At 44.0% G+C, this 26,481-nt stretch overlaps 1 long non-coding RNA gene and 1 pseudogene across 1 annotated transcript, besides 2 other annotated features; one reads left to right on the top strand and one right to left on the bottom strand.

The window, feature by feature from the left end:
• Window positions 8,791–8,955: a silencer, noted in NCBI's record as "fragment chr21:38406966-38407130 (GRCh37/hg19 assembly coordinates)". NCBI's record gives its function as "represses an EF-1alpha promoter that drives an FKBP-Casp9 reporter gene in an ReSE screen in K562 erythroleukemia cells {active_cell/tissue: K562}" and the evidence as "EXISTENCE:reporter gene assay evidence [ECO:0000049][PMID:32094911]".
• Window positions 10,661–16,230, bottom strand: LOC124905017 (uncharacterized). The gene is made up of 2 exons (XR_007067859.1): window positions 15,947–16,230; window positions 10,661–11,030 (listed from the first exon to the last, which is right to left on the bottom strand). It is a non-coding gene; the product is annotated as an uncharacterized LOC124905017 (long non-coding RNA).
• Window positions 16,302–16,803: an enhancer, noted in NCBI's record as "H3K4me1 hESC enhancer chr21:38414477-38414978 (GRCh37/hg19 assembly coordinates)". NCBI's record gives its function as "activates a minimal SCP1, AML or CMV promoter by ChIP-STARR-seq in primed H9 embryonic stem cells {active_cell/tissue: H9 hESC(primed)}" and the evidence as "EXISTENCE:reporter gene assay evidence [ECO:0000049][PMID:30033119]".
• RNU6-696P (RNA, U6 small nuclear 696, pseudogene) lies at window positions 19,655–19,761 on the top strand (annotated as a pseudogene).

Consider the following 26,481-nt stretch of genomic DNA (forward strand, 5'->3'; position numbering starts at 1 on the left):
TTCTTTTTTTTTTTTTTTTTGAAGCAGGGTCTCACTGTTGCCCAGGCTGGAGTACAGTGGTGTGACCTCGGCTCACTGCAACCTCTGCTTCACAGGTTCAAGTGATTCTCCTGCTTCAGCCTCCCAAGTAGCTGGGATTACAGGCACCTGCCACCACGCCCAGCTAATTTTTTTTTTTTGTATTTTTAATAGAGATGGGGTTCGCCATGTTGCCCAGGCTGGTCTCTACCTCCTGAGTTCAGGTCAATCCGCTGACTTCAGCCTCCTAAAGTGCTGGGATTACGGGTGTGAGCCACTGCACCCAGCCTATATAGATCATATGTATATATCATAGCTCATTGCAACCTCAAATTCCTGAGCTCAAGCAATCCACCCACCTCTGCCTCCTGAGTAGCTGTGATTACAGGTATTCGCCACCATGCCCAGCTAATTTTTACATTTTTGCAGAGATGGGGGTCTCTCTGTGTTACCAGGCTAGTCTTCAACTCCTGGCATCACGTGATTCTCCCTCTGTGGCCTCCCAAAGTGTTTTAAAATGAACCCCATTGTATAACCTTCCTGAAGAAGTCAGAAGATTACCACTAGCCTATCATTCTACAGCAAAACACGAATGGGGAGAGAGAGAGAGAAGACTGCTCTTCGAAAGACCAATTTTGGGTTCCTATCTCTTGGATTTTAAAAATCAGGTGATTTCTCTTTAAAAATCTGGATCTCTGGCAGTGTTTGCATGTGTTCCTGCAAGGAATCAATCAGCTGGAGCTGAGGAACGGCTGTTGGCATTAAACAGCCCAGCCTTCCCCACTCTCCACAGTCTGCATCTTCCTCCATCCCCTTCCATTTCTTTCCTGCAACAGCTTGCCTAATAACGGTGCAGTACATGGATTTCACACGTGGTGACATCTCTATGTGTTTTCTCTGGAATCATTTTAGCATTCTAATCAAAATGGCTGCTCCAACAATGGTTATACTTAGCTAGGTTTTCTATAAAATATCCATTTTTTAAAAGGTAATTTATGGTTGAGGCTGACTCGTTTGACACATCTTTCTTTCAGTGGCTCACAAAAAGTAGCTCCTAATGAATTTCATTATTGAAACAGAATTTTGCAAATACCACAAGCTGGAACATGCTAGAAATATCTGCACTTTCACCCAGCTGTACTCAAACCTCCTACGCTGCGTGATTTGATGTAATAATGGTTTATTCAAATCTCCAGCCACATCTTCTTTGAGTCTTCCAATAGATTTTCTTACAAAAGAATGCATTTCAATTTCTTGCCATAGTGTTTCCTATTTGCTATTTTAACCAGTTTTACTGTGGTAGGAAGACAGTGTTTTCTAATATTTTTTAAACTTCTATAATAAACATGGAATTGCAAAACATGCTGTTTAACACACCGTTAAACATTTGTCATTAAGTTGAGTGAAATTTTGTGTGATCTGGTGTTGAGGATCACATGATTTTTAAACACAATTGACAGTATCTACAGTAAAATGTATGCTTTGCTTGAGGTCCAATGATAAAAGATGTTAACAATTCAATTATTTTTCTTGATAATGTTAATTATTTTTGCTAACTTTTTGCCAACTTTTTGCCAGATCTCTTTTAGCTTGTTATGTGGCTGATGATGAGCTTGCAATAAAGACAGAAATATTAGCCTTGACATTTGTTTGTGGTTTGCTTGAGCTTGCATTATCTATATTATTTTCAATCCAGTTTCTTGGGAAGAATTTTGTTTGTTTTGTTTTGTTTTAGAGAGACAGGGTCTCAATGTGTTGTCCAGGCTGGAGTCCAGTGGTGCGATCACGGGTCACTGCAGGCTTGAACTCCTGGCCTCAAGCAATCCTCCCACCTCAGCTTTCTGAGTAGCTGGTACTACAGGTATGTGCCACCATGCCTTATTATTTTGTGTGTGTGTATGTGTGTGTGTGTGTGTGTGTGTGTAGATAGGACCTCACTATGTTGTGCAAGCTGGTCTCAAACTCCTGGCCTCAAGTGATCCTCTTGCCTTGGCCTCCCAAAGTGTTGGGATTACAGGCATGAGCCACCACATTCACCCAGAAAAATTTTAAATTTTAAATTGTGATGTAATTCACATACGATAAAATTCACCTTTTTTTTGAGACCGAGTTTCACTCTTGTTGCCCAGGCTAGAGTGCAATGGCGTGACCTCGGCTCACAGCAACCTCTGCCTCCCAGGTTCAAGCGATTCTCCTGCCTCAGCCTCCCAAGTAGTTGGGATTACAGGAGTGCGCCACCATGTCTGGCTAATTTTGTATTTTTAGTAGAGATGGGGCCTCTCCATGTTGGTGAGGCAAGTCTCAAACTCCCCGCCTCAGGTGATCCACCCATCTTGGCCTCCCAAAGTGCTGGGATTACAGGCATGAGCCACCGCACCCGGCCAAAATTCACCCTTTTAAAGTGTACAGTTCAGGCTGGGCACAGTGGCTCATGCCTGTACTCCCAGCACTTCAGAAGCCAGAGGCGGGAGGATCTCTTGAGACCTGGAGCTTGAGACCAGCCTGGGTAACATGGTGAAACCCTGTCACTACAAGAAATACAAAAATTAGCTGGGTGTGGTGGTGTGAGCCTGTAGTCCCAGCTACTCGGGTGGCTGAGGTGGGAGGATTGCTTGAGCCTGGGAGGTTGAGGTTGCAGTGGGCTATGATCACACCACTGCACTCCATCCTGGGTGACAGAGTGAGACTGAGACCATCTCCAAAAAAAAAACAAAAAAACTGTACAGTTCAGCATCTTTTTTGTGTATTCACAGAAGTGTACGAGCATCACCACTAATCTCAGATCATTTTCATCATCCCAGAAAGAAATCTCATATCCATTAGTAGACACTCCCATATCCTCCAGGCCCTGGCAGCCACTCAACTTTCTGTCTCTCTGGATCTCCCTCTCCTGGACATTTCATAAAAGTGGAATCATAAAATATGTTTTTTTTTAATTTGGCTTCTAAATTATCTTTTAAAACTTAAAAAAAAATTTAGATTAAAAAAAAGCCCAGAAGTCTCAATACTGCACCCTGTCCCCACCAAACCATGGTCCCTTTCCACACTCGCCTGGGCTGTGCACGTCGACTGTGGTGAGGGCACAGCATTGATGCTGTCACCAGCACAGCCTTGATTTCGTTACAATCCAATTACCTCGGCTCAGAGAACAATTTATTCTGAATAAAGAAATAAGCAAATCCTTGTTTTGCAAATTTCTGCTGTTGGCCTAGAGAGTGACAGTGCCCCCAAAGATGGGCCAGCAGGGGCTCAAAGCATCCCACTCATTATGCTCTGCAGGAACGCTCCACTGCATGGGGCACATGCGTTTTCAGTAGCACTGTCTTCATGCAGAGAGAATAGAACGTTTGTTATCAAAGAAGACTGCAAAAAAGTAAAATCTGTACCACCAACAAGCCAATTCACTCACGAACTGTTCTTTTTAGGACTTAGGAGTAAATTCTGGTGGGCACCACACAGAGGAGTTTTAGACTATTTCAGGTAGATGTTAAAGTAAGGCATGAAAAGTAAGGTATAAAATGCTCCCTGAAATTATATGTTAAAGTAAGGTATAAAACTGCTCCCTGAAATTATATATAAGATTATTCTTTCTCTTTATATTCCAGAGGTGTATTTGAAGAGCACATTTTTTAGAGGGAAAGTCATAGCAATTTTGTTACAAATATTAACATCAAGGAAATAAAACCATCCTTCTTTCTAGGCTAGTTTTTCCATGTAAACTTTTAATTTTTTTTATATTTTGTATTTATTTTATTTTATTTTATTTATTTTTCGAGACAGCGTCTCAGCATTAGTCCGTTCTCGTGCTGCTATAAAGACATACCCGAGACTGGGTAATTTATAAAGGTTAGAGGTTTAATTGACTCACAGTTCAGCATGGCTGGGGAGGCCTCAGGAAACTTACAATTATGGTGGAAGGGGAAGCAAACACATCCTTCTTCACATGGCAGCAGCAAGGAGAATTGCCGAGCAAATGGGGAAAAACCCATTATAAAACCATCAGATAGCTGGGCATGGTGGCTCACACCTGTAATCCCAGCACTTTGGGAGGCTGAGGCGGGCAGATCACCTGAGGTCCGGAGTTTGAGACCAGCCTGACCAACATGGAGAAACCCTGTCTCTACTAAAGATACAAAATTAGCCAGGCGTGGTGGTGCATGCCTGTAATCCCAGCTACTTGGGAGGCTGAGGCAGGAGAATCACTTGAACTTGGGAGGCGGAGGTTGTGGTGAGCCAAGATCGTGCCATTGCGCTCCAGCCTGGGCAGCAAGAGCAAAACTCTGTCTCAAAACAAAACAAAACAAAACAAAAACCGTCAGATCTCGTGAGAACACACTATCACGAGAACAGCATGAGGGTACCCACCCTCATGATTCAATTACCTCCCACCAGGTCCCTCCCATGACAAGTGGGGATTATGGGAACTACAATTCAAGATGAGATTTGGGTGGGGACACAGCCAAATCATATCAGACAGGGTCACACCCTGTCACCTCAGCTAGAGTGCAGTGGTGCAGTCACAGCTCACTGTGGCCTTGACCTCCCTGGCTCAAGCTATTGCCTTCCTCAGCCTCCCAAAGTGCTGGGATTACAGGCATAAGCCACTGGGCCTGGCCCAATGTAAACTTTCTATTACAGAATAATACACCTATAGAAACTACATAAATCGTATACTTGATATAATTTGCAAAGTTAATATGCTCATGTAAGCAGTACCCAGATCAAAAACAGAGCACAACTGGTCGCCTAGGATAACCCCTTGCACTCTCTTCCAGTCTCCATGCCTCTAAAACCGTAGATACGATTTGTCTGGTTTTGAACTTGGTATCAAAGGGACCAAATGGTATGTGCTCTTCTGTGTCTGGCTTCCATCCTTAACATTGTGCTTGGGAGAATCAGCCAAACTGTGATGTGAAGCTGTAGGCAGCTCGTTCTCATTGCTGAGTAGAACTCTGTTGTGTCAATGTATTCACTGTCCTATTGACAATTGGTTAGTTTCCGGTTTGTGGTTATCAGAAATAACACTGCCTTGACCATTCCTGTCGATGGCTGTTGGTGGACATATGGACCCATACTGAATGCATTTCTTTTTCTTTTCTTTTCTTTTTCTTTATTTCTTTCTCTTTCTTTCTTTCTTTCTTTCTCTTTCTTTCTTTTCTTCCTTTCCTTTCTTTCTTTTTCTTTCTTTTTTTTTCTTTCTTTCTTTCTCTTTCTTTCTTTTCCCTTCCTTCCTTCCTTCCTTCCTTCCTTTCCTTCTTTCTTTTTTTTTGTTGAGACAGGGTCTCACTGTGTCACCCAGGCTGGAGTGCAGTGGTGCCACCACAACTCATTGCAGCCTCCACCTCCCGGGCTCAAGCGATCATCCTGCCTCAGCCTCCCAAATAGCCGGGACTAAAGGCATGTGCCACCACATCTGGCTGATTTTTGTATTTTTTGTAGAGATGGGTTTTCACCATGTTGCCCAGGCTGGTCTTGAATTCCTGAGCTCAAGTGATCCACCTGCCTCAGCCTCCCCAAAGTACTGGGATTACAGGCATGAGCCACGGCGCCCGGCCATTTGGTGTATTTCTAGGAGAAGTAGCAAGAAGATAGTTTTTATGTCTTCCCCTCATATGTTTGGTGTCCTTCAGCCTGAAAATAGTTTAAAAACTGAAGAGTGGAGGGCATGGACCACGAAGTTTTAGAGGAAAAGAACAAAGTTACCAAACAGGCTGTTCTTTTCTTTGCGATCTTTACTAATGAACCAGAGCTTAGGGGTGCTGTTGTGTCCAGAAAGTGACCAGAGTCAGTGGGCTCTTTCTTCTTCCTAAATTGGGATTTTGTAACAAGATATAGAAGCTTACTTCATTTGGGAATCGGATGTGACTTGGAAATGTGAAAGGGGACCTGGGAATTCAATCCACCCCCGTTTTTTTAAGATGGAGTCTTGTGCTGTCACCCAGGCTGGAGTGCAGTGGCATGATCTTGGCTCACTGCAACCTCCCTCTCCTGGGTTCAAGCAATTCTCCTGCCTCAGCCTCCCGAATAGCTGGGATTACAGGCATGCACCACCACGCCTGGCTAATTTTTGTATTTTTATTTTTTCTTAGACACCGTCTCACTCTGTTGCCCAGGCCAAGGTGCAGTGGTGAGATCTCTGCTCAGTGCAACCTCCACCCTTCCTGGGCTAAAGCAATTCTCCTGCCTCAGCCTCCCAAGTAGCTGGGACTACAGGCATGCACCATCATGCCTGGCTGATTTTTGTATTTTTAGTAGAGACGGGGTTTCACCATGTTAGCCAAGCTAGTCTCAAACTCCTGACCTGAGGTGATCCATCCACCTCGGCCTCCCAAAGTGCTGGGATTATAGGCATGAGCCACCATGCCTGGCTTAGGAATTCAATCTCTTAAGAAGATCCTGGAGAAGTCTAATAATTCTCTTCTGAAGGATCTATGAACTTACCAAGGCTTCAACTCATCTCATCTCTTTACATACAGAGAAAATTTAATTACAGAAAGCGTCAGATTGGAGAACAGAACCCACATCCTACAAATGCTCCTTCTCAGCAGGGAGCATGGCCCCCCCTCCCTGACCTCCCTTCCTCTGGGGTAGCATCCTTCACCAGGTTTTACTTACACTGACCACGGGCCACCTGTCGCTACTCTTTATCTGCTTCTATCGTACATCCCTACCATGCCAATTATAGATTTTACTAAGATTGTTTTCTATTATTTTGGACCCTGAACAATCGACTGAACTGAAAGAGGTTTTATGTTTGTTTCCTTGAGCAGTTTATTTAATTTTTAGAGACAGGGTCTTGCTCCATCGCCCAGGCTGGAGTTCAGTGGAGCAATCAGCTCACTGTAGTCTCGAACTCCTAGACTCAAGTGATTCTCCCGTCTCAGCTTCCTGAGTATCTGGGACTACAGGTGCAACCATCATGCCCTGCTCATCGTTTTATTTTTTGTAGGGACAGAGTCTTGCTATGTTACCCAGGCTGGTCTCAAAACTCCTTGACTCAAGTGATGCTCTTGCCTCGATCTCCCACAGCCCTGGGATTACAGGCGTGAGCCACCGTGCCTGGCATGAGCAGTTTATTTTTGTCACCTGTTTATTCTGTGATAGAAGGGTAATATATCAAAGAAGAGAAAAACTGTCCTATACAGAAACCACCAGAGGAAGAATTTGCTACTGTCCTGCAGAGCATGAATCATGTCTGCGTGACTCATTTTTGCAGAACTGCTGGTGAAAGGCCAATGCATAAATAGGTACTTTGTGATGATGATCATGAAAATGATGGATAATAAAAAGATACAAACAGTTCTGACTGCCTTAGAAGGCAGTTGCTGGACAAATAAAAAATACAGTACTATTTTAATATTCTATTGCATCATTACTTGGTAATCATTACAAACAGATTTGATTTTATAGTTTCAAATATTTCAAAAAGATGTTCAATGCCATTACAGAAATGCAAATTAAAACACAGTAAGATACTTCTACATCACTGTTAGAATGGATACAATTTTATTTATTTATTTATTAAAATATTATTATTGTAAATTGACAAACTATAGTTGTACATATTTATGGGGTACAAAGTGATGTTATGATTTACAAATACAACTTGGGATAATTAAATCAAGTGAATTAACTATTCATCACCTCAAACTTCTTTTGTGGAGAGAACATTTGAAATTTTACTCTCTTAGCAATTTTGAAATGTACAATACACTATTATTAACTAAACTTACTATGCTGTGTAATAGATTGCAAAAAACCCCTTATTTCTCCTGCCTAACAGAGGCTTTGTAGTAGCCTCTGACCATCATTTACCCATTCCCTCCAGCCCCCAGCCTCTGGTAATCACCATCCTACTCTATGCTTCTATGAGGCTATTGTTTTAGATTCCACATTATATTAGTCAGGGTTCTCTAGAGGGACAGAGCTAATAGGAGATATATATATAGAATATATACATAGAATATATATATAGAATATATACATAGAATACATATATAGAATATATACATAGAATACATACATAGAATATATATAGAATATATATAGAATATATACATAGAATATATATAGAATATACATAGAATATATACATAGAATATATACATAGAATATATATATAGAATATACATAGAATATATATAGTGTATATATAGTGTATATATATAGTATATATATAGTGTATATATAGTGTATATATATAGTATATATATAGTGTGTGTGTGTGTATGTGTGTGTGTGTGTGTATATATATATATATATATATATATATATATATATATATATATATCAGGGAGATTATTAAATATTAACTCACATAATCACAAGGTCCCGCAGTAGGCCTTCTGCAGGCTTAGGAAGAAGAAGAGCCAGTTGGAGTTCCAAAACTGAAGAACTTGGAGTCCAATGTTTGAGGGCAGGAAGCATCCAGCATGAGAGAAAGATGTAGGCTGGAAGGCTGGGCCAGTCTAGTCTTTTCATATTTTTCTGCGTGCTTTATATTCTAGCCACACTGGCAGCCAATTAGATGGTGGCCACCCAGATTAAGGGTGGGTCTGCCTTTCCCAGCCCACTGACTCAAATGTTAATCTCCTTTGGCAACACCCTCACAGACACACCCAGGATCAGTACTTTGCATCCTTCAATCCAATCAAGTTGACACTCAGTATCAACCATCACACATACATAAGTAAGATCACGTGGTATTTGTTTTTCTGTGTGTGGCTTATTACACTTAACGTCATGTCTTCTGATTTCTTTTTTTTTGAGACTTGTTCCCCAGGCTAGAGTGCAATGGCATGATCTCGGCTCACTGCAACCTCCACCTCCCGGAAGTGATTATCCTACCTCAGCCTCCTAAGTAGCTGGGATTACAGGCACCCACCACCATGGCTAATTTTTTTGTATCTTTAGTAGAGACAGGGTTTCACCATGTTGGCCAGGCTGGTCTCAAACTCCTGACCTCAGGTGATCCACCCGCCTCTGCCTCCCAAAGTGCTGGGATTACAGGCATGAGCCACTGCGTCCTGCCCATGTCTTCCAATTTCATCCATGTTGTTGTTAATGAGAGAATTTCTTTCCTTTTTTAAGACTAAAATTCCATTGTGGATATATGTTACATTTTCTTTATTTGTTCATCTATTGATGGACATTTAGATTGGTTCCATAATTTGGCTAGTGTAAATAGTGCTGCAGTGAAAATGGGAGCACAGACATCTCTTTGACATACTGATTTCAAATCTTTTGGGTAAATACCCAGAAATGAGAATGCTGGATCACAATTTTATTTTGTTTTATTTTATTTATTTTATTTTTTTTGAGACGGAGTCTTGCTGTCACTCAGGCTGGAGTGCAGTGGTGTGATCTCGGCTCACTGCAACCTCCGCCTCCCAGATTCAAGCAATTCTCCTGCCTCAGCCTCCTGAGTAGCTGGGAATACAGGAATGCACCACCACACCCAGCTAATTTTTTTTTTTTTTTTTTTTTTTTAGTAGAGACAGGGTTTCGCCATGTTAATCAGGCTGGTCTCAAACTCCTGACCTCAAGTGATCTGCCTGCCTCGGCCTCCAAAAGTGGTAGGATTACAGGCATAAGCCATCATGCCCAACCTGGATCACAATTTTAAATAAGAAGTGTTGGCAGGGATGTGGAGAAACTAGAATCCTCATATTATATTATTGGTGGAAATGTATAAACAGTACAACCATTTTGGAAAACAATCTGGCAGTTTCAGTAGAAAGCTAAAACTGCCTGGGCACTGTGGCTCACGCCTGTAATCCTAGCACTTTGGGAGGCTGAAGCAGGAGGTTTGCTTGAGCCCAGGAGTTCAGACCAACCTGGGCAACATGTGGAGACCCCATCTCTACAAATTTTTTTTCTTTTTTTTTGAGACGAAGTCTTGCTCTGTCACCAGGCTGGAGTGCCATGGCATGATCTCGGCTTACTGCAACCTCCGCCTCCTGGGTTCAAGCGATTCTTCTGCCTCAGCCTCCCGAGTAGTTGGGATTACAGGTGCGCGCCACCACGCCCAGCTAATTTTTGTATTTTTAGTAGAGATGGGGTTTCACCATGTTGGCCAGGATGGTCTCGATCTCTTGACCTTGTGATTCCACCCGCCTCAGCCTCCCAAAGTGCTGGGATTACCAGCGTGCGCCACCGCACCTGGCCAAAAAAAATTTTTTTTTAATTAGCCAGGCATGGTGGTGAGTCCTGTAGTCCTAGGTAGGAGGATCACTTGAGCCCGGGAGGTCAAGACTGGAGTAAGCCATGATAGCAACACTGCACTCCAGCCTGAGTGATAAAGCATGGCCCTGTCTGAAAGAAAATAAAAAAGCTAAACATAAATTCACCATAGAACCTAGCTATTCCACTCCTAGGAATCTACCCAAGACAAATAAAAACATTAGTCCACACAAAGACATGTACGTGAATGTTTATAGTAGCGCTATTCATAACAATCTCACACTGGAAATCATCCAAATATACATTAACTGGTGGCTGGATAAATAAAATGTGGTATGTCCATACAATGGGATGTTATTCAGTAATTAGAAGAGATGAAGTATTGATACATGTGGAAACACGAGTGGACCTTGGAAGCAGCGTGCTAAGTGGAAGAAACCAGACATAACAGACTGCATTGTATGAGTCCATTTTCTTTTTCAATTTTTATTTATTTATTTTTTGAGACGGAATCTCACTCTGTCACTCAGGGTGGAGTGCAGTGGCATGCATGATCTCAGCTCACTGCAACTTCCACCTCCCGGGTTCAAGCAATTCTCGTGCCTCGGCTTCCCGAGTAGCTGGGATTACAGGAACCCACCACCATGCCTGGCTAATTTTTGTATTTTTAGTAGAGATGGGGTTTCACCATGTTGGCCAGGCTGGTCTCGAACTCCTGACTTCGTGATTCACCCGGCTCAGCCTCTCAAAGTGCTGGGATTACAGGCGTGAGCCACTGCGCCCGTCCGTATGAGTCCATTTATATAAAAGGTCCACAGAAAGGCGAATTTCTAGTGACAGAAAACAAAACAGTGGTTGCTTAGTGCTGGGAGTGGGAGCAAGGATTAACTGTAAATCAGCACAAGAAAACTTTTTGGGGTGATAGAATTATTCTAAAACTGGATTATGGTGTTAGTTGCATAATTCTAGAAATGCACGAAAATCTTTGAAATGTACAGTGCCAATGGGTAAATATATAGTAAATAAATTACATCCCAATAAGTTGTTTTTTTTTTAAAGCGTAGACTCTTATTATTAAGACAATATTTGTATCTTTTATTTAGCTACAGAGTCGCTACAGGAATAATACATTTTTTGGGGGTGGAGGGCATGACAAAGTTTAAATTTTTAAGAAGTAACCCAAAGGAAAACATTCTAAAGAAATATTTCAGTTTCTTCCCTGAGACCTCTGAGTTTTTTTACTCTCCTGGGTTTATTCATTAAGGCCCTGTCTTCTGAAGATGTGCAGTGACCTCTGAGTCATCAATCACTTAAAGGTAAAGAGGTCCCAGGTGTACTTTTAGAATAATGGGTTCAATTCCAAAGTAAGACATGAAGGGAGGACCAATTGCCTAGATCCAGGTCATCAGTAGGCTAGACCTTCCTGTCCTGCGTTCAAAGTGAGTATCTGGAATTACTTGAAACTCCAAGATTAGGTTGTTAAACAACATGGTAAGACCACTACCCAAATTTAAGTTAGGTGTAAGACTTAGGGCTTCAGATGTCAACAATACCAAACCATAATAGTCACCATTGTCATAAAGTGGGTGCTCTCCAGATATATCAACAGTACACCTGGAAAGTCCATCGTTTTCCAGAATTTTCTACAATAATATACTGGTCCCTAGCAACAGTTACCATATAGATGATTAAAAGACACTAAAATTTTTATTTTAAAATGCAGTTTTTATCAATATACAACAGATACAGAAAAGCAAGCATATCTTAAGTGCTCAATGAATTTTCAAAGGTAACATCCCTTCTATAACACCAACAAGGTTGAGAAATAGAAGATCACCATCACCCTGGAAGCCCCTCAAAGCCCCTCCCAGCTACCACACTCACTCTCTTCCTCAAAGATAACCACTATTCTGACTCTTAACACCATACATTTGTTTGCCCAGTTCTGAACTTTATATAAATGGAATCAACCACACTGTATGCACTCGTTTTTGTCTGGTTTATTTTACACTGTACATAAGTCAACCATAGTCTCTTGTAGGAATATGTCAACTATTTATTTATTCATTCTATTATTGATGTACATTTGTATTGCTTCCAGGGATTTTGGCTGTTATGAATAATGCTGCTATGAACACTTTTGGGTTTGTTTTTTGTGCATTATCTGTGGACATTTCTGTTGAGAATATATCTAGGAGTGGATGTTGGCTGCTAGGGTATGTGTATGGTTAGCTTTAGTATACATCATTTTATTTGGCCAAAATCTAGAAAGCCACTTGAAGTGATGTAAGTGTAAACATACCTAAATGGAGAAATTTCCTAAATGTAAACACACGTTCATTCTTCATCAGAACTGATGGAGCAAACACTGTCACAGGCAGGACAACTGAGTATCAGTCACGAAGTTAGTGGAGTGTGATGTCTCACCAACATCACTTCGGAAGCCATCGCCTCCGTGGGGTTCGGGCCTTGGGAAATGAGCCCCACATGAACTTCCTGGCACTCCTGCCAGCTCCTTTCAGTGGAGTCTGGATGAACAAGGCTCATAGCCCTGCCTTGGCTTTGATACAAAGGAAAATATTAGGTGTGTTCAATTTCCCTCTAAGGTCTGGAAATCAATTTACCTTTTTTCTTTCTTTTCCTTTTCTTTTTCTTTTTTTTTTTTTTAAGACAAGGTCTGTCACCCAGGCTGGAGTGCAGTGGTGCGTTCTTGGCTCACTGCAGCCTCAACCTCCTGGGCTCAAGTGGTCCTCCCACCTCAGCCTCCTGAGTAGCTGGGACTAGAGGCACGTGCCACCACACCTGGCTGATTTTTTTTTTTTTTTAATAGATGCAGGGTTTCACTATGTTGTCCAGGCTGGTCTCAAACTCCTGGGCTCAAGCGATCCACCTGCCTCGGCCTCCCAAAGTGCTGAGATTTACAACTTATTTTCTTTAAAAAACAAAAAAGCCAGGGGTAATTATTAGCACACAATTGCAGGCTGAGTCTCTCAGTTCCTGGAGGACACTTGTCTGCTGCTTTCTGGAGCTTGGTGGTCCTTTACCTCTGGGCAGGGCTAAAAGCTCTTGCCTGTGACTGGTTCTTCCTGGTGGCTGTGGGCTCATAATCTACCCCATGTCAGAGTCCATCTCTGACAGGATTTGAAGCCAGGGCAGCTGGATTCAGCTCACAATGCTTCTAGTAGGATATTTTCATGGCCCAGGCTAATCTTAATAATCCAGTGTTTGTCCCCAGTGAAACCTTCCAGGGAGTTTCTACATCAGTTTCACTTCATGGTCTCTGAATTGGGTGTCCACTTGGGTTTGGGGAAGACTTTCTATGAAAACAAGGATCCCTTTGGCTTGCTGCCTATCCGTGGAAGTTGAAGCGTTAGTCAGAATTCCGACCTCAGACGCTTTTACACCCTAATGGGCCAGGCTGCAGAGAGGGCTCTATCTTCTTTTCTTTTAACTTTTCTTTAAAGTTGGATTCCTTCTGTAGCTGCTTGTTCTCTTCCATGTCTCTAGGGTATTTGTTAGTATACACAAGAAACAGCTTCTTGAATAATGTCCATTATAGCTTCGCATTTAAATGACAATGACTTCCTCCCTCTCCCTCTCCCTCTCCCTCTCCCTCTCCCTTCCCTTCCCCCTTTCCCCCTTCCCTCTCCCTTCCCTCTCCCTTCCCTCTCCCTTCCCTCTCCCTTCCCTCTCCCTTCCCTCTCCCTTCCCTTTCCCTTCCCTCTCCTTTCCTCTCCTTTCCTCTCTTTTCCTCTCCTTTCCTTTCCTTTCCTGTCTCACAGGGCTTGCTCTGTTGCCCAGGCTGGAGTACACTGGTGTGATCATAGCTCACGGCAGCCTAGAACTCCTAGGTTCAAGCAATCCTTGAGGCTCAAGCTCAGCCTCCCATGTAACTGGAACTACGGGCACGCACCACCACGCCCAGCTATTTAAAAAAAAAAATTTTTTTTTATAGACAGGATGTCTTGCTATGTTGCCCAGGCTAGTATTGAACTCCTGGCCTCAAACAATCTTCCTGCCTCTGCCTCCTAAAGTTCTGGGATTACAAGCATGAGCCACTGCACCTGGCCTGTTTTATTTATTTTCTACCATACTCTAAGGCTGCAAGTAGAGCAGCTGCAATGCCTGCTTTTAGCATTGGAGAACTTACCATATGCTCCTTACTTTCTGTTTTTGCTTGCTTTAAAAGTTGCCACAACTTTTGTCATTGTTATTTGTTAGTAGTAGAGAAGAACTTATATTCTCCAAGCTCAGATGGGGTTCCTGAATTTGGCCCTACTTTTTATGTTTTTATAAACCATTGACATGTACTAAAACTACTTGGGACATGACTTGCAAAAAACTTGTCATTGGTCAAATGGCAAATATTCACTACAAACGTATAGAACAACAAATCACCTACTTGCTTAGGTTTAAAATGGAAAGAAATTATTTTGGATTCTATATTTTGGGATAACTTAACATTTTAAAAGTATTATTTATTGCAGGCTGGGCGCAGTGTCTCATGCCTGTAACCCTACCACTTTGGGAGGCCGAGGCAGGCAAATCACTTGAGTTCAGGAGTTCAAGACCAGCCTGGGTAAAACCCCATCTTTACAAAAAATACAAAAATTAGCTAGGTGTGGTGGTGTGTGCCTGTAGTCTCAGCAACTTGGGAGGCTGAGGGAGGATCATTTGAGCCTAGGAGACGAAGGCTACAGTGAGCTGAGATTGTGCCACTGCACTCCAGCCTGGGCGATAGAACGAGACCCTGTCTCAAAAAAAGAGTATTGTGTATTGATTGCATAAGATGCAATACAATGAATACATATCACTCAGCATTAGGAGGCTAATTAGGCAATATGAGGGGGCATGGCTTTATCAAGAGACCAACCAGGTCAATTTTCTCAGATTTTAGGTCAGTTTCAGGATACGTTTGGGATGATCCTTATATGGGTGACTTAGGTAGCTTTTTGATTGTTGTTACCAGTTTTCATTCATTCGTTTTTTTTTTAAATAGCTGTATTGAGATAGAATTCACATACTTTATAATTCACCCATTTAAAGTATACAATTAAATGGTTTTTAGTATATTCACTGATACGTGCAATCACCACCACAGTCAATTTTAAAACATGTCATCACTTCAAAAGAGAAACCTCATGTCTGCTAGCCCTCAGTCCTCTATTCCCCCACCCTACCCTAAGCAATCACAAGTCTACTTATCTAGGCTGGGCGCGGTGGCTCATGCCTGTAATCCCAGCACTTTGGGAGGCCGAGGTGGGCAGATCACCTGAGGTCAGGAGTTTGAGACCAGCCTGGCCAACAGGATTAGTGAAACCCTGCCTCTACTAAAAATACAAAAACTAGCTGAGCGTGGTGGTGGACACCTATAATCCCAGCTACTCAGCATCCAGGTCCCCAGGGCTCTGTGGGTGGCATCCGGGAGAGGTGGCCTTGCCAGAGGATGCTCAGGGAGAAGCAGGGACCCCACAGCTGTGTATTAGCCTGAGGGACGTCCCCAGAGGTGGAACAAGAGCATGTCTCCAGGTAAATGAGCATTCCCCAAGTAAGTGTTAGTGTCACTGTTCTGTCCTCACTGCCACCCACCATCCCCCCCAATCAGTGGGCTGGAAAGGACAGGTCTGGAACCAGAGAGGGGGTTTGTGGTTACAGCCTCTCCCCACAGCAGGCCTGGGTGAGGGCCTCCTGGCCTGGGGAGGCCTGTCCCTCCTGCCACAGCCCTTGCAAAGTTGGCCCCTTTCACCTGACAACTCTGGAGGCAGGCCTGAGCAGGTGGAGCGGCAGCTGAGGTGGGGCAGGTGTCAGTTGCTGCAGGCGGCTCTGGGGAACAGTATTGGGCATTCCTTCTTCCACAGAGCTGAGTGTGGTTGATTCCACCTAGGATGGCCAGGCAGCCTCATCACACCAGAAGGGGTGGTTGGATATTTAGTGTTGAGCTGCCCAGGGACATGAGAGTGGGGGTGGCCACACATTCAAAAGCTGAGGTGCCCTGGGGAAAAACAAACAAACAACTCACTAATCCACTTAAAATCCTGAGCTAGGCCAGGTGCAGTGGCTCATGGCTATAATCCCAGCACTTTGGGAGGCCAAGGCGGGTGGATCACTTGAGGTCAGGAGTTTGAGACCAGCCTGGCCAACATGGAGAAACCCTGTCTCTATTAAAAATACAAAAATTAGCCAGGTGTGGCGCATGCCTGTAATACCAGCTACTCGGGAGGCTGAGGCAGGAGAATCACTTGAACTCGGGAGGTGAAAGTTGCAGTGAGCCGAGATTGCACCACCACTGCACTCTAGCCTGGGCAACAGAGTGAGACTCTGTCTCAAAAACATCAAACTAAAACAAAACCCTGAGCTGAAACCAACACAGACTTACATTTCAAACAGTACGGACATGGCACGGGGCCAGCTTCACCAGGCCATATGCACAGTGTGTTTGCCTGGGCCGGCTTGGCCCTGAGGTTTTCAGGTTGGTGACTATCTTGAGAACTGGCTGAGTACATCCTAAGACTTGCCTGGAAAGACCTGGCTGGGGACACAGACCGCCTGAGAGTCGGCCCCAGGGCCCTCCTCCCCGAGGGATGACCCGGCCCATTTGCTTTTCTGAGTCAATTTCCCTGTGACCGTCCCTTTTCCCTCTGCTCTGGGGGTGCAGCAGCCGTCCTTCTCTCTTCACAGCTGCCATCAGCCTCTGGTATCTTGGGGACCGCTCTGCTCCGCACCCAGAGCTGTCTGAGGAAGAGCTTTGTGGCCCTTGCCCCCACTGCCTTCTGTCCTGGACCCAGATACATCAGGCAGAACCCTGTGCAATGCTGATATGTGACCAGTTTGACCTATAAAAATGACTTTCCCATAGGTCAATTTGGATACAGTCTTTTTTCTTTTCTTTCTTATATTTATTTATTTATTTATTTATTTATTTTTATGAGACAGTGTCTTGCTCTGCCGCCCAGGCTGGCGTGCAGTGGTGTGATCCTGGCTCATTGCAATTTCTGCCTCCCAGGTTCAAGCAATTCTCCTGCCTCAGCCCCCCAAGTAGCTGAGACTACAGGCGCATACCACCACACCTGACTAATTTTTGTATTTTTTGTAGAGACAGGGTTTTGCCATGTTGCCCAGGCTGGTCTCGAACTCCTGGGCTCAAGTGATCCACCTGCCTCAGCCTCCCAAAGTGCCGGGATTATAGGAGTGAGCCGCCGCTCCTGGCCTGTATATAGTCCTTTTTATTTGAAATATCTTCCTACTAATTGTGATAGGAAAATAAACAGAAAGAAACAAAAATAAAAATAGTGGGCATATAGACTCTCTAGAGATGGTAAAGCATAGTTTTTTCTGTCTGGGCCTGCCTTTCCTGGGGCCTTTTATTAATAGAGAACTTTGTGGCTGGGCACGGTGGCTCACGCCTGTAATCCCAGCACTTTGGGAGGCGGAGGCGGGCAGATCACCTGAGGTCAGGAGTTCGAGACCAGCCTGGCCAACATGGTGAAACCCCATCTCTACTAAAAATACAAAAATTAGCTGGGCATGGTGGCGCACACCTGTAATCTCAGTTACTTCACAGGTTGAGGCAGGAAAATCACTTGAACCCGAGAAACAGAGGTTTCAGTGAGCCGAGACTGCACCACTGCACTCCAGCCTGGGCGACACAGCAAGGCTCCGTCTCAAAAAAAAAAAAAAAAAAAAAATTAGGGAACTTTGGGGATGTCTCCCAAGGCTACCACGCCTTCCAACTTGGCTGGACCAGATGGCTTCCCAGGGACAGCAGGCGGGCCAGGCCCAGGCTCGTAGAATCCCCATCTTGGGGCTCAGTCTCTGGTTCCCCTCTTCTGGTCTCTCCTGGCTGTGCTTTCATTCTGCAGCTCTCTCTTGGCCCTGCCCTGCCTCTCTCTGCCTTCCCCATGAATGCCCCCAAGGAGTCCCACGGCTCAGGCTTCCTGTCTGACCTTGCGGTCACTTCCTCCCTGTGTCCTGGAGGCTCCTGGGTCCAGCCACCACCCCTGGCCCACTGCTCTCTGTCCTGAGTGTTTTGCCCACAACATTTTTCTGGCCAGGCTGATAAGTCCAGAAAAGTTCAGTTTCCTTACCTGCGCTGTGGCTTTCTCTTGAAGTCAGGTGTCTTACACGGCAGGGGCCAACCTTGGAAGCCTGGCTGACTTGACTTGCTGCCTCCTGTCTTTCTCCTGTTCCTGAGCCCCCGCAGAGGCCGTCTCTATTTTAGGCATTAGTCCCTGCTGGCCTTGCTCTGATACCCAGTCCAGGTTGCACATTGCTTAGGGCCCTGCACTAGCAAGGACAGAGGACAGCTGGCCACCCCCCCCCCCGAAACCTGCCTCCTCAGGGTCACTTTCCATCTCTCCTCAGGTGCCTGCCCCCTACCCAGGGACCCCCATCAATGGGCCCTGTCGGAATTTCCATCCAGGGCCCTCACAGGGAATCTGGTTAGAGATCAGAGGGGCTGCCAGGCAGAACAGGGGCACAGCCCATGCTGAGCTGTCCTGAGATAAGGGGTGGCTTCTGCCTGGGCAGCGGCCACTGCCCTGGGCCTCTCCTGACTGCCACGAGCCTGGACAGCAGGAGTTGTCCTTGCACCCCTGTGGGTCCCCAGAATGCTTGCAGTCTTCACAGCCTGTACCCTGCCACTGGGCCAACAGTGACCAACCTGGCCAAACATCCCGTGGACCCCTCTTTCCATATGCCCTCCTTTGTCACTGGCTGCTTGTTCATTGAACCACTTGAGTCATTCACTAAGAATGCATTGAATACCTACTATGTGCCAGGTACCATTCTAGGCCTTAGGGACATAGTGGTGAATAGGGCAGGTGACCCTCCCCCCACCCCCCAGAGCTCAAAGTCTAGTGGGAACACAAGTAATGAAACCAATGATCCTCTAAGTGGGATCTGCGTACTGGGGCCTAGCCATGGCCTGTGTTACCAGCCTGCGATGAGGTGGCCAGGAGTTGAGAGAAATGTTGAGAAACTTCTATAGGAATTTGACAGGGAAAGTTTTTGTTTATTGAGTCTAGTTTAAAAAAAAAATCAGGTTTCTATTGTTTGTCTTTTTTTAATTTTATTTTTCTAGCAATTCTTTTTTTTTGTTGTTTGTTTTTGAGATGGAGTCTCACTCTGTCGCCCAGACTGGAGTGCAGTGGGGTGATCTCGGCTTCCTCTGCTGCTACGAGGTGAAGCCAAGACAGGCCAACAAGCAGGGGCACGGTCCTATCAGCAGCAGCAGCTGGGGGTAAGTGTCTGAGGGATTCTCGGAGGAAGTGTTCACGTGCAGTAAAAGATGCCCAGGTTTGGGGTGAGCCCAGAGCAGACATGTGTGGTTTGCACATCCTTCCTTTTTCTGGTTGCAAAGCAAAAGGCAGATGCATCCTGACTCCACTGGGGTACTCAATTGTCCCATTCAGAAGGACATCATGATAAAGCAACATCTCACCAACAGTCCAAGCCCCTGCTCATTTCAGCTGCACGTATACTACAACTGGAATGATACAGAGAGGATTAGCATGGCTCCTGTGAAAGGATGACACACAAATTCATGAAGCGCTCCACATTAAAAAAAAAAAAGTCCAATCCTGAGACAGGTTTTTAAGAGCAGCTTTCTTGCAAAGGTTTAGCATGCAAACGACTTTTAAAGAAACTTTTTATGCCTTGGACACTTACTGACTGAGATAAGATGCTGCCAAGATGGAATTCTCTTTATGGAAGGATTTCCTCAAAGATACTATGTTGTGCAACCGGAAAAGAAAAGCTAAAGCACGGAAAAGGGAATTTGAACTCATAATTTTTCTGAGAAATAAGAGTAGGGTCTGATTCATAGATACGTTGGTTTATCTGGCCTTCTATCAGTTGATGTTTGCGGGCTACAAAAAAGTGGCAATGGGTGCCCTTGCCAATGATACGGATGCTCCAGAAGTTTCTAAAGTATCTTGTAAATCTCCAAAAGGAAAAGCACATTATTTTACGTAATTTAAGAATTGTGCTTCCTATATTCTTTTTTAAAAAAAATATGCAGTCTGGGAAACATAGCAAGACGCATCTCTACACACACAAACACACACAAAAATTAGCTGGGTGTTGTGCCACATGCCTGTAAGTCCCAGCTACTCAGGAGGCTGATGCAGGAGGATCAGTTGAGCCCAGGGGTTCAAGGCTGCAATGAGTTATGATCATGCCACTGAACTCTCTAGCCTGGGTGAAAGAGTGAGACCCTATCTCAAAACAGACAAACAAAAAATGTGGTAAGCTGCAATTGAGACCTATTTACAAATTGGTGTATGTCTACAATCTGAGTAATATATTTCTTCTCTTTGCATTTTGCTACCCTGACATAGAAGAGTTTGCCAGGCTACTTTCATTGTTGCTGAAGGTCTTTACATATTACAGAAAGTTGCTGCAAATCATTTACAAAAGATGATTTAGGCAGGTTTAAATTAGGCAACTCGAGTAGGGATCATTATGGCGGATGGGAGGCAGGACTAGATTGTAGCTCCAACTCGAATGGACAGAGCAATGGGCGGAGGCTCGCATAGTGAATTTTAGCTCCAAATTGACTGCAAGAACAAATCGGCAATCTTGAGAGAACCCACAGACTCTCTGTCTCCTGCAGGACCCAGGAGACACCCCAAATACTGTGAGCGCCCCAACTGCAGAAGTGGGAAAGGGAGATCCTTTTCCCCTGAACACACACCCCCACTGGAGAAACTAAAGGTCTGTTTGCGGGAGAAGTTTCTGACCTTACCTGGAGCTGAGTCAAGTTAGAGAGCCAAGCGAAATACAGGGGTAGAGGAAGCACTGGGAAAGGCCTTGGGAACTCGCTGGGTCCCCAAGCAGGCCATTGCTGCCTGGCACCGCAGGGACCCATTGGGAGAGCAGCTAGAGTGGGGGGATATGCTACAGGGAGAAGGAAATCTCCAGCTGAACTGGGGCGAGAAGCCTCCCCGTCAGAACTCAGGGGAGGGCATGAATCCAGGGTGCAGATTCCACAGGCAGGGGAAGAACCATGCCCTTTTCTTTCGCAGCTGGGAGGCAGGTAGCCCGGGGCAAGTTCTCAAGCCTGTGTCGCCCACTGCTTGGAAACAGACTCTGTTAGTGGTGCATGGTGGGAGTGAGACTGGCCCTTTTTTATTGCATGGGAGCTGGGTGAGGCCTGTAACTGCCAGCTTTCCCCCACTTCCCTGACAACCTGCATGACTCAGCAGCAGCCACAATCCTCCTAGGTACACAACTCCACTGACCTGGGAAACTCACCTCCATCCCCCAAAGCAGCTGCAGCAAGACCCGCCCAAGGAGAGTCTGAGCTCAGACACACCTAACCCTGCCCCCACCTGATGGCCCTTCCCTACCCACCCTGGTAGTGAAGACAAAGGGCATATGCTCTTGGGAATTCTAGGGCCCCATCCACGGCTGGTTCCTCTCCACAGTACCATAGCTGATGCTCTCTGGAAAGTGCTACCTCCCCGGCAGGAGGCCAACCAGCACAAAAATAGAGCATTAAACCACCAAAGCTAAGAACCCTCACGGAGTCCATTGCATACCCCCTGCCACCTCCACTGGAACAGGTGCTGGTATCCATGACTGAGAGACCCATAGATGGTTCACATCCAGGACTCTGTGCAGACAACCCCCAGTGCCAGCCTGGAGCCGGGTAGACTTGCTGGGTGGCTAGACCCAGAAGACAGACAACAATCACTGCAGTTCGGCTCACAGGAAGCCACATCCATAGGAAAAGGGGGAGAGTACTACAACAAAAGAACACCCCGTGAAACAAAAGAATCTGAACAACGGCCTTCAGCCCTAGACCTTCCCTCTGACAGAGCCTACCCAAATGAGAAGGAACCAGAAAACCAACTCTGGTAATATGACAGAACAGGGCTCTTTAAACCCCCCACAAAAATCACACTAGTTACCAGCAATGGATCCAAACCAAGAAGAAATCTCTGATTTACCTGAAAAAGAATTCAGGAGGTTAGTTATTAAGCTAATCAGGGAGCACCAGAGAAAGGCGAAGCCCAGTGCAAGGAAATCCAAAAATCAATACAAGAAGTGAAGGGAGAAATATTCAAGGAAATAGATAGCTTAAAGAAAAGACAATTAAAACTTCAGGAAATATTGGACACACTTATAGAAATGCAAAAAGCTCTGGGAAGTCTCAGCAATAGAATTGAACAAGTAGAAGAAAGAAATTCAGAGCTTGAAGACAAGGTCTTCGACTTAACCCAATCCAACGAAGACAAAGAAAAAAGAATATGAAAATATGAACAAAGTCTCCATGAAGTCTGGGATTGTGTTAAACAACCAAACCTAAGAATAATTGGTGTTCTTGAGGAAGAAGAGAAATCTAAAAGTTGGGAAAACATATTTGGGGGAATAATCAAGGAAAACTTCCCCAGCCTTGCTAGAGACCTAGACATCCAAATACAAGAAGCACAAAGAACACCTGCAGAGTTCATTGTAAAAAGATCATTCCCTAAGCACACAGTCATCAGGTTATCCAAAGTTAAGAAGAAGGGAAGAATCTTAAGAGCTGTGAGACAGAAGTACCAGGTAACCTATAAAGGAAAACCTATCAGATTAACAGCAGATTTCTCAGTAGAAACCCTACAAGATAGAAGGGATTGGGGCCCTATCTTCAGCCGCCTCAAACAAAACAATTATCAGCCAAGAATTTTGTATCTAGAGAAACTAAGCATCACATGTGACTGAAAGATACAGTCTTTTTCAGACAAACAAATACTGGGAGAATTTGCCACTACCAAGCCACCACTACAAGAACTGCTAAAAGGAGTTCTAAATCTTGAAACAAATCCTGCAAACACATCAAAACAGAACCTCTTTAAAGCATAAATCACACAGGACCTATAAAACAAAAATACAAGTTAAAAAGCAGAAACAAAAAACAAAAAACAAACCCAAAGTACACAGGCAACAAATAGCATGATGAATGCAATGGTACCTCATATCTCAATACTAACATTGAATGTAAATGGCCTAAATGCTCCACTTTAAAGCTACAGGACTGGAGAATGGATAAAAACTCACCAACCATCTGCTGCCTTCAGGAGACTCACCTAACGCATAAGGACTCACATAAACTTAAAGGGGTGGAAAAAGGCATTGCATGCAAATGGACACCAAAAGTGAGAAGGAGTAGCTATTCTTATTTCAGACAAAACAAACTTTAAAGCAACAGCAGTTAAAAGAGACAAAGAGGGACATTATATAATGGTAAAAGGCCTTGTCCAACAGGAAAATATCACAATGTTAAACATATACGCACGTAACACTAGAGCCCCCAAATTTATAAACAATTAAGAACAGACCTAAGAAATGAGATAGACATCAACACAATAAGAGTGGGGGACTTCAGTACTCCACTGACAGCACCAGACAGGTCATAAGACAGAAAGTCAACAAAGAAACAGATGAATTTAAATTATACCTTGGAACAAATGGGCTTAACAGATATATACAGAACATTTCATCCAAAAACCACAGAATGCACATTCTATTCAACAGCGCATGGAACTTTTTCCAAGATAGACCATATGATAGGCCATAAAATGAGCCTCATATAATTTAAGAAAATTTGAAATTATATCAAGCACTCTCTCAGACCACAGTGGAATAAAACTGGAAATAAACTCCAAAAGGAACCTTCAAAACCATGCAACTACATGGCAATTAAATAACCCACTCCCGAATGAGCATTGGGTCAAAAACAAAATCAATATGGAAATTAAAAAGTTCTTAGAACCAAACAACAATAATGACACAACCTATCAAAACCTCTGGGATACAGCAAAGGCAGTGCTAAGAGGAAAGTTCATAGCCCTAAACACCTACATCAAAAAGACTGAAAGAGCTCAAACTGACAATCCAAGGTCACGCCTCAAGGACTAGAGAGATAAGAACAACCAAACTCAAACCTAGCAAAAGAAAGGAAATAACCAAGATCAGAGCAGAACTAAATGAAATTGAAACAAACAAACAAACAAACACATACAAAAGATAAATGAAACAAAAAGCTCGTTCTTTGAAAAGGTAAATAAAATTGATGACCATTAGCAAGATTAACCAAGGAAAGAGAAAAAATCCAAATAACTTCATTAAGAAATGAAACAGGAGATATTACAACTGACACCATGGAAATACAAAAGATCATTCAAGGCTACTATGAACACCTTTATGCACATAAACTAGAAAACCTAGAAGAGATGGATAAATTCCTGGAAAAACACAACCCTCCAAGCTTCAATCAGGAAGAATTAGATACCCTGAACAGACCAATAACAAGCAGCAAGATTGAAATGGTAATAAAAAAATCTACCAACAAAAAAAGGTCCAGGATCAGACGGATTCACAGGATAATTTTACCAGACAGTCAAAGAATTGGTACCAATCCTTTTGACACTATTCCACAAGATAGAGAAAGAAGGAACCCTCCCTAATTCATTCTACGAAGCCAGCATCACCCTAATACCGAAGCCAGGAAAGGACATAACCAAAAAAGAAAACTACACACCAATATCCCTCATGAACATAGATGCTAAAATCCTTAATAAAATACTAGCTAACCGAATCCAACAGCATATCAAAAAGATAATCCACCATGATCAAGTGGGTTTCATACCAGGGATGCAGGGATGGTCTAACATCCGCAAGTCAATACATGTGATGCACTACATAAACAGAATTAAAAACAAAAATCACAGCCAGGTGCAGTGGCTCATGCCTGTAATCCCAGCACCTTGGGTGGCTGAGGTAGGTGGATCACCTGAGGTCAGGAGTTCAAGACCAGCCTGATCAACATGGTAAACTCTGTCTTTACTAAAAAATATTTAAAAATTAGCCAGGTGTTGTGCCGGGCGCCTGTAGTCCCAGCTACATGGGAGGCTGAGGCAGGAGAATCGCTTGAACCCAGGAGGTGGAGGTTGCAGTGAGCCGAGATCATGCAATTGCACTCTGGCCTGGGCGACAAGAGTGAAACTTCGTCTCAAAAAGAAAAAAAAAATCACATGATCATCTCGATAGATGCAGAAAAAGCATTAGACAAAATCCAGCACCCCTTAATGATTAAAACTCTCAGCAAAATCAGCATACAAAGTACATACCTCAGTGTAATAAAGGCCATCTATGACAAACCCACAGCCCACATAGTACTGAATGGGGAAAAGTTGAAAGCATTCTCTGCCCCCGAGAACTGGAACAAGAAAAGGATGCCCACTGTCACCACTCTTCTTCAACATTGTAATGGAAGTCCTAGCCAGAGCAATCACACAAGAGAAAGAAATAAAGAGCAGGCCGGGTGCAGTGGCTCATGCCAGTGATCCCAGTACTTTGGGAGGCCAAGGCAGGCGGATCACAAGGTCAGGAATTTGAGACCAGCCTGACCAACATGGTAAAACCCTGTATCTACTAAAAATACAAAAATTAGCCGGGTGTAGTGGTGTGCTAATCCCAGCTACACAGGAGGCTGAGGCAGGAGAATTGCTTGAACCCGGGAGATGGAGGTTGCAGAGAGCCAAGATCGTGCCACTGCACTCCAGCCTGGGTGACAGAGTGAGACTCTGTCTCAAAAAAAAAAAAAAAAGAAAGAAAAAAAAGAAAAAGAAATAATGGGCATCCAAATTGGTAAAGAGGAAGTCAAACTGTCCCTGTTTGCTGACGATATGATCGTTTACCTTGAAAACCCTAATGACTCCTCCAGAAAGCTCCCAGAACTGATAAAAGAATTCAGCAAAATTGCTGGATACAAGATTAATGTACACAAATTAGTAGCTCTTCTATATACCAACAGCGACCACGCAAATATCAAATCAAGAACTCAGCCCCTTTTACAATAGCTGGGAAAAACAAAAAACAAAAAACCTAGGAATATACCTAGTCAATGAGTCTAAAGACCTCTACAAGGAGAACTACAAAACACTGCTGAAAGAAATCACAGGCCAGGCGCGGTGGCTCACACCTGTAATCCCAGCACTTTGGGAGGCTGAGGCAGGCAGATCACCTGAGCTCAGGAGTTTGAGACTAGCTTGGCTAACACGGTGAAATCCCATTTCTACTAAAAATACAAAACATTAGCTGGGCATGATGGTGTGCGCCTATAATCCCAGCTCCTCGGGAGGCTGAGGCAGGAGAATCACTTGAACCTGGGAGGCGGATGTTGCAGTGAGCTGAGATTGTGCCACTGCACTCCAGCTTGGGCGACAAAACTAGACTCCATCTCAAAAAATAATAATAATAATAATAAAATAAAAATAAAATATCCAGAATCTA

Source organism: Homo sapiens, chromosome 21 (genome assembly GCF_000001405.40).
Source record: "Homo sapiens chromosome 21, GRCh38.p14 Primary Assembly".
NCBI lineage: Eukaryota > Metazoa > Chordata > Mammalia > Primates > Hominidae > Homo > Homo sapiens.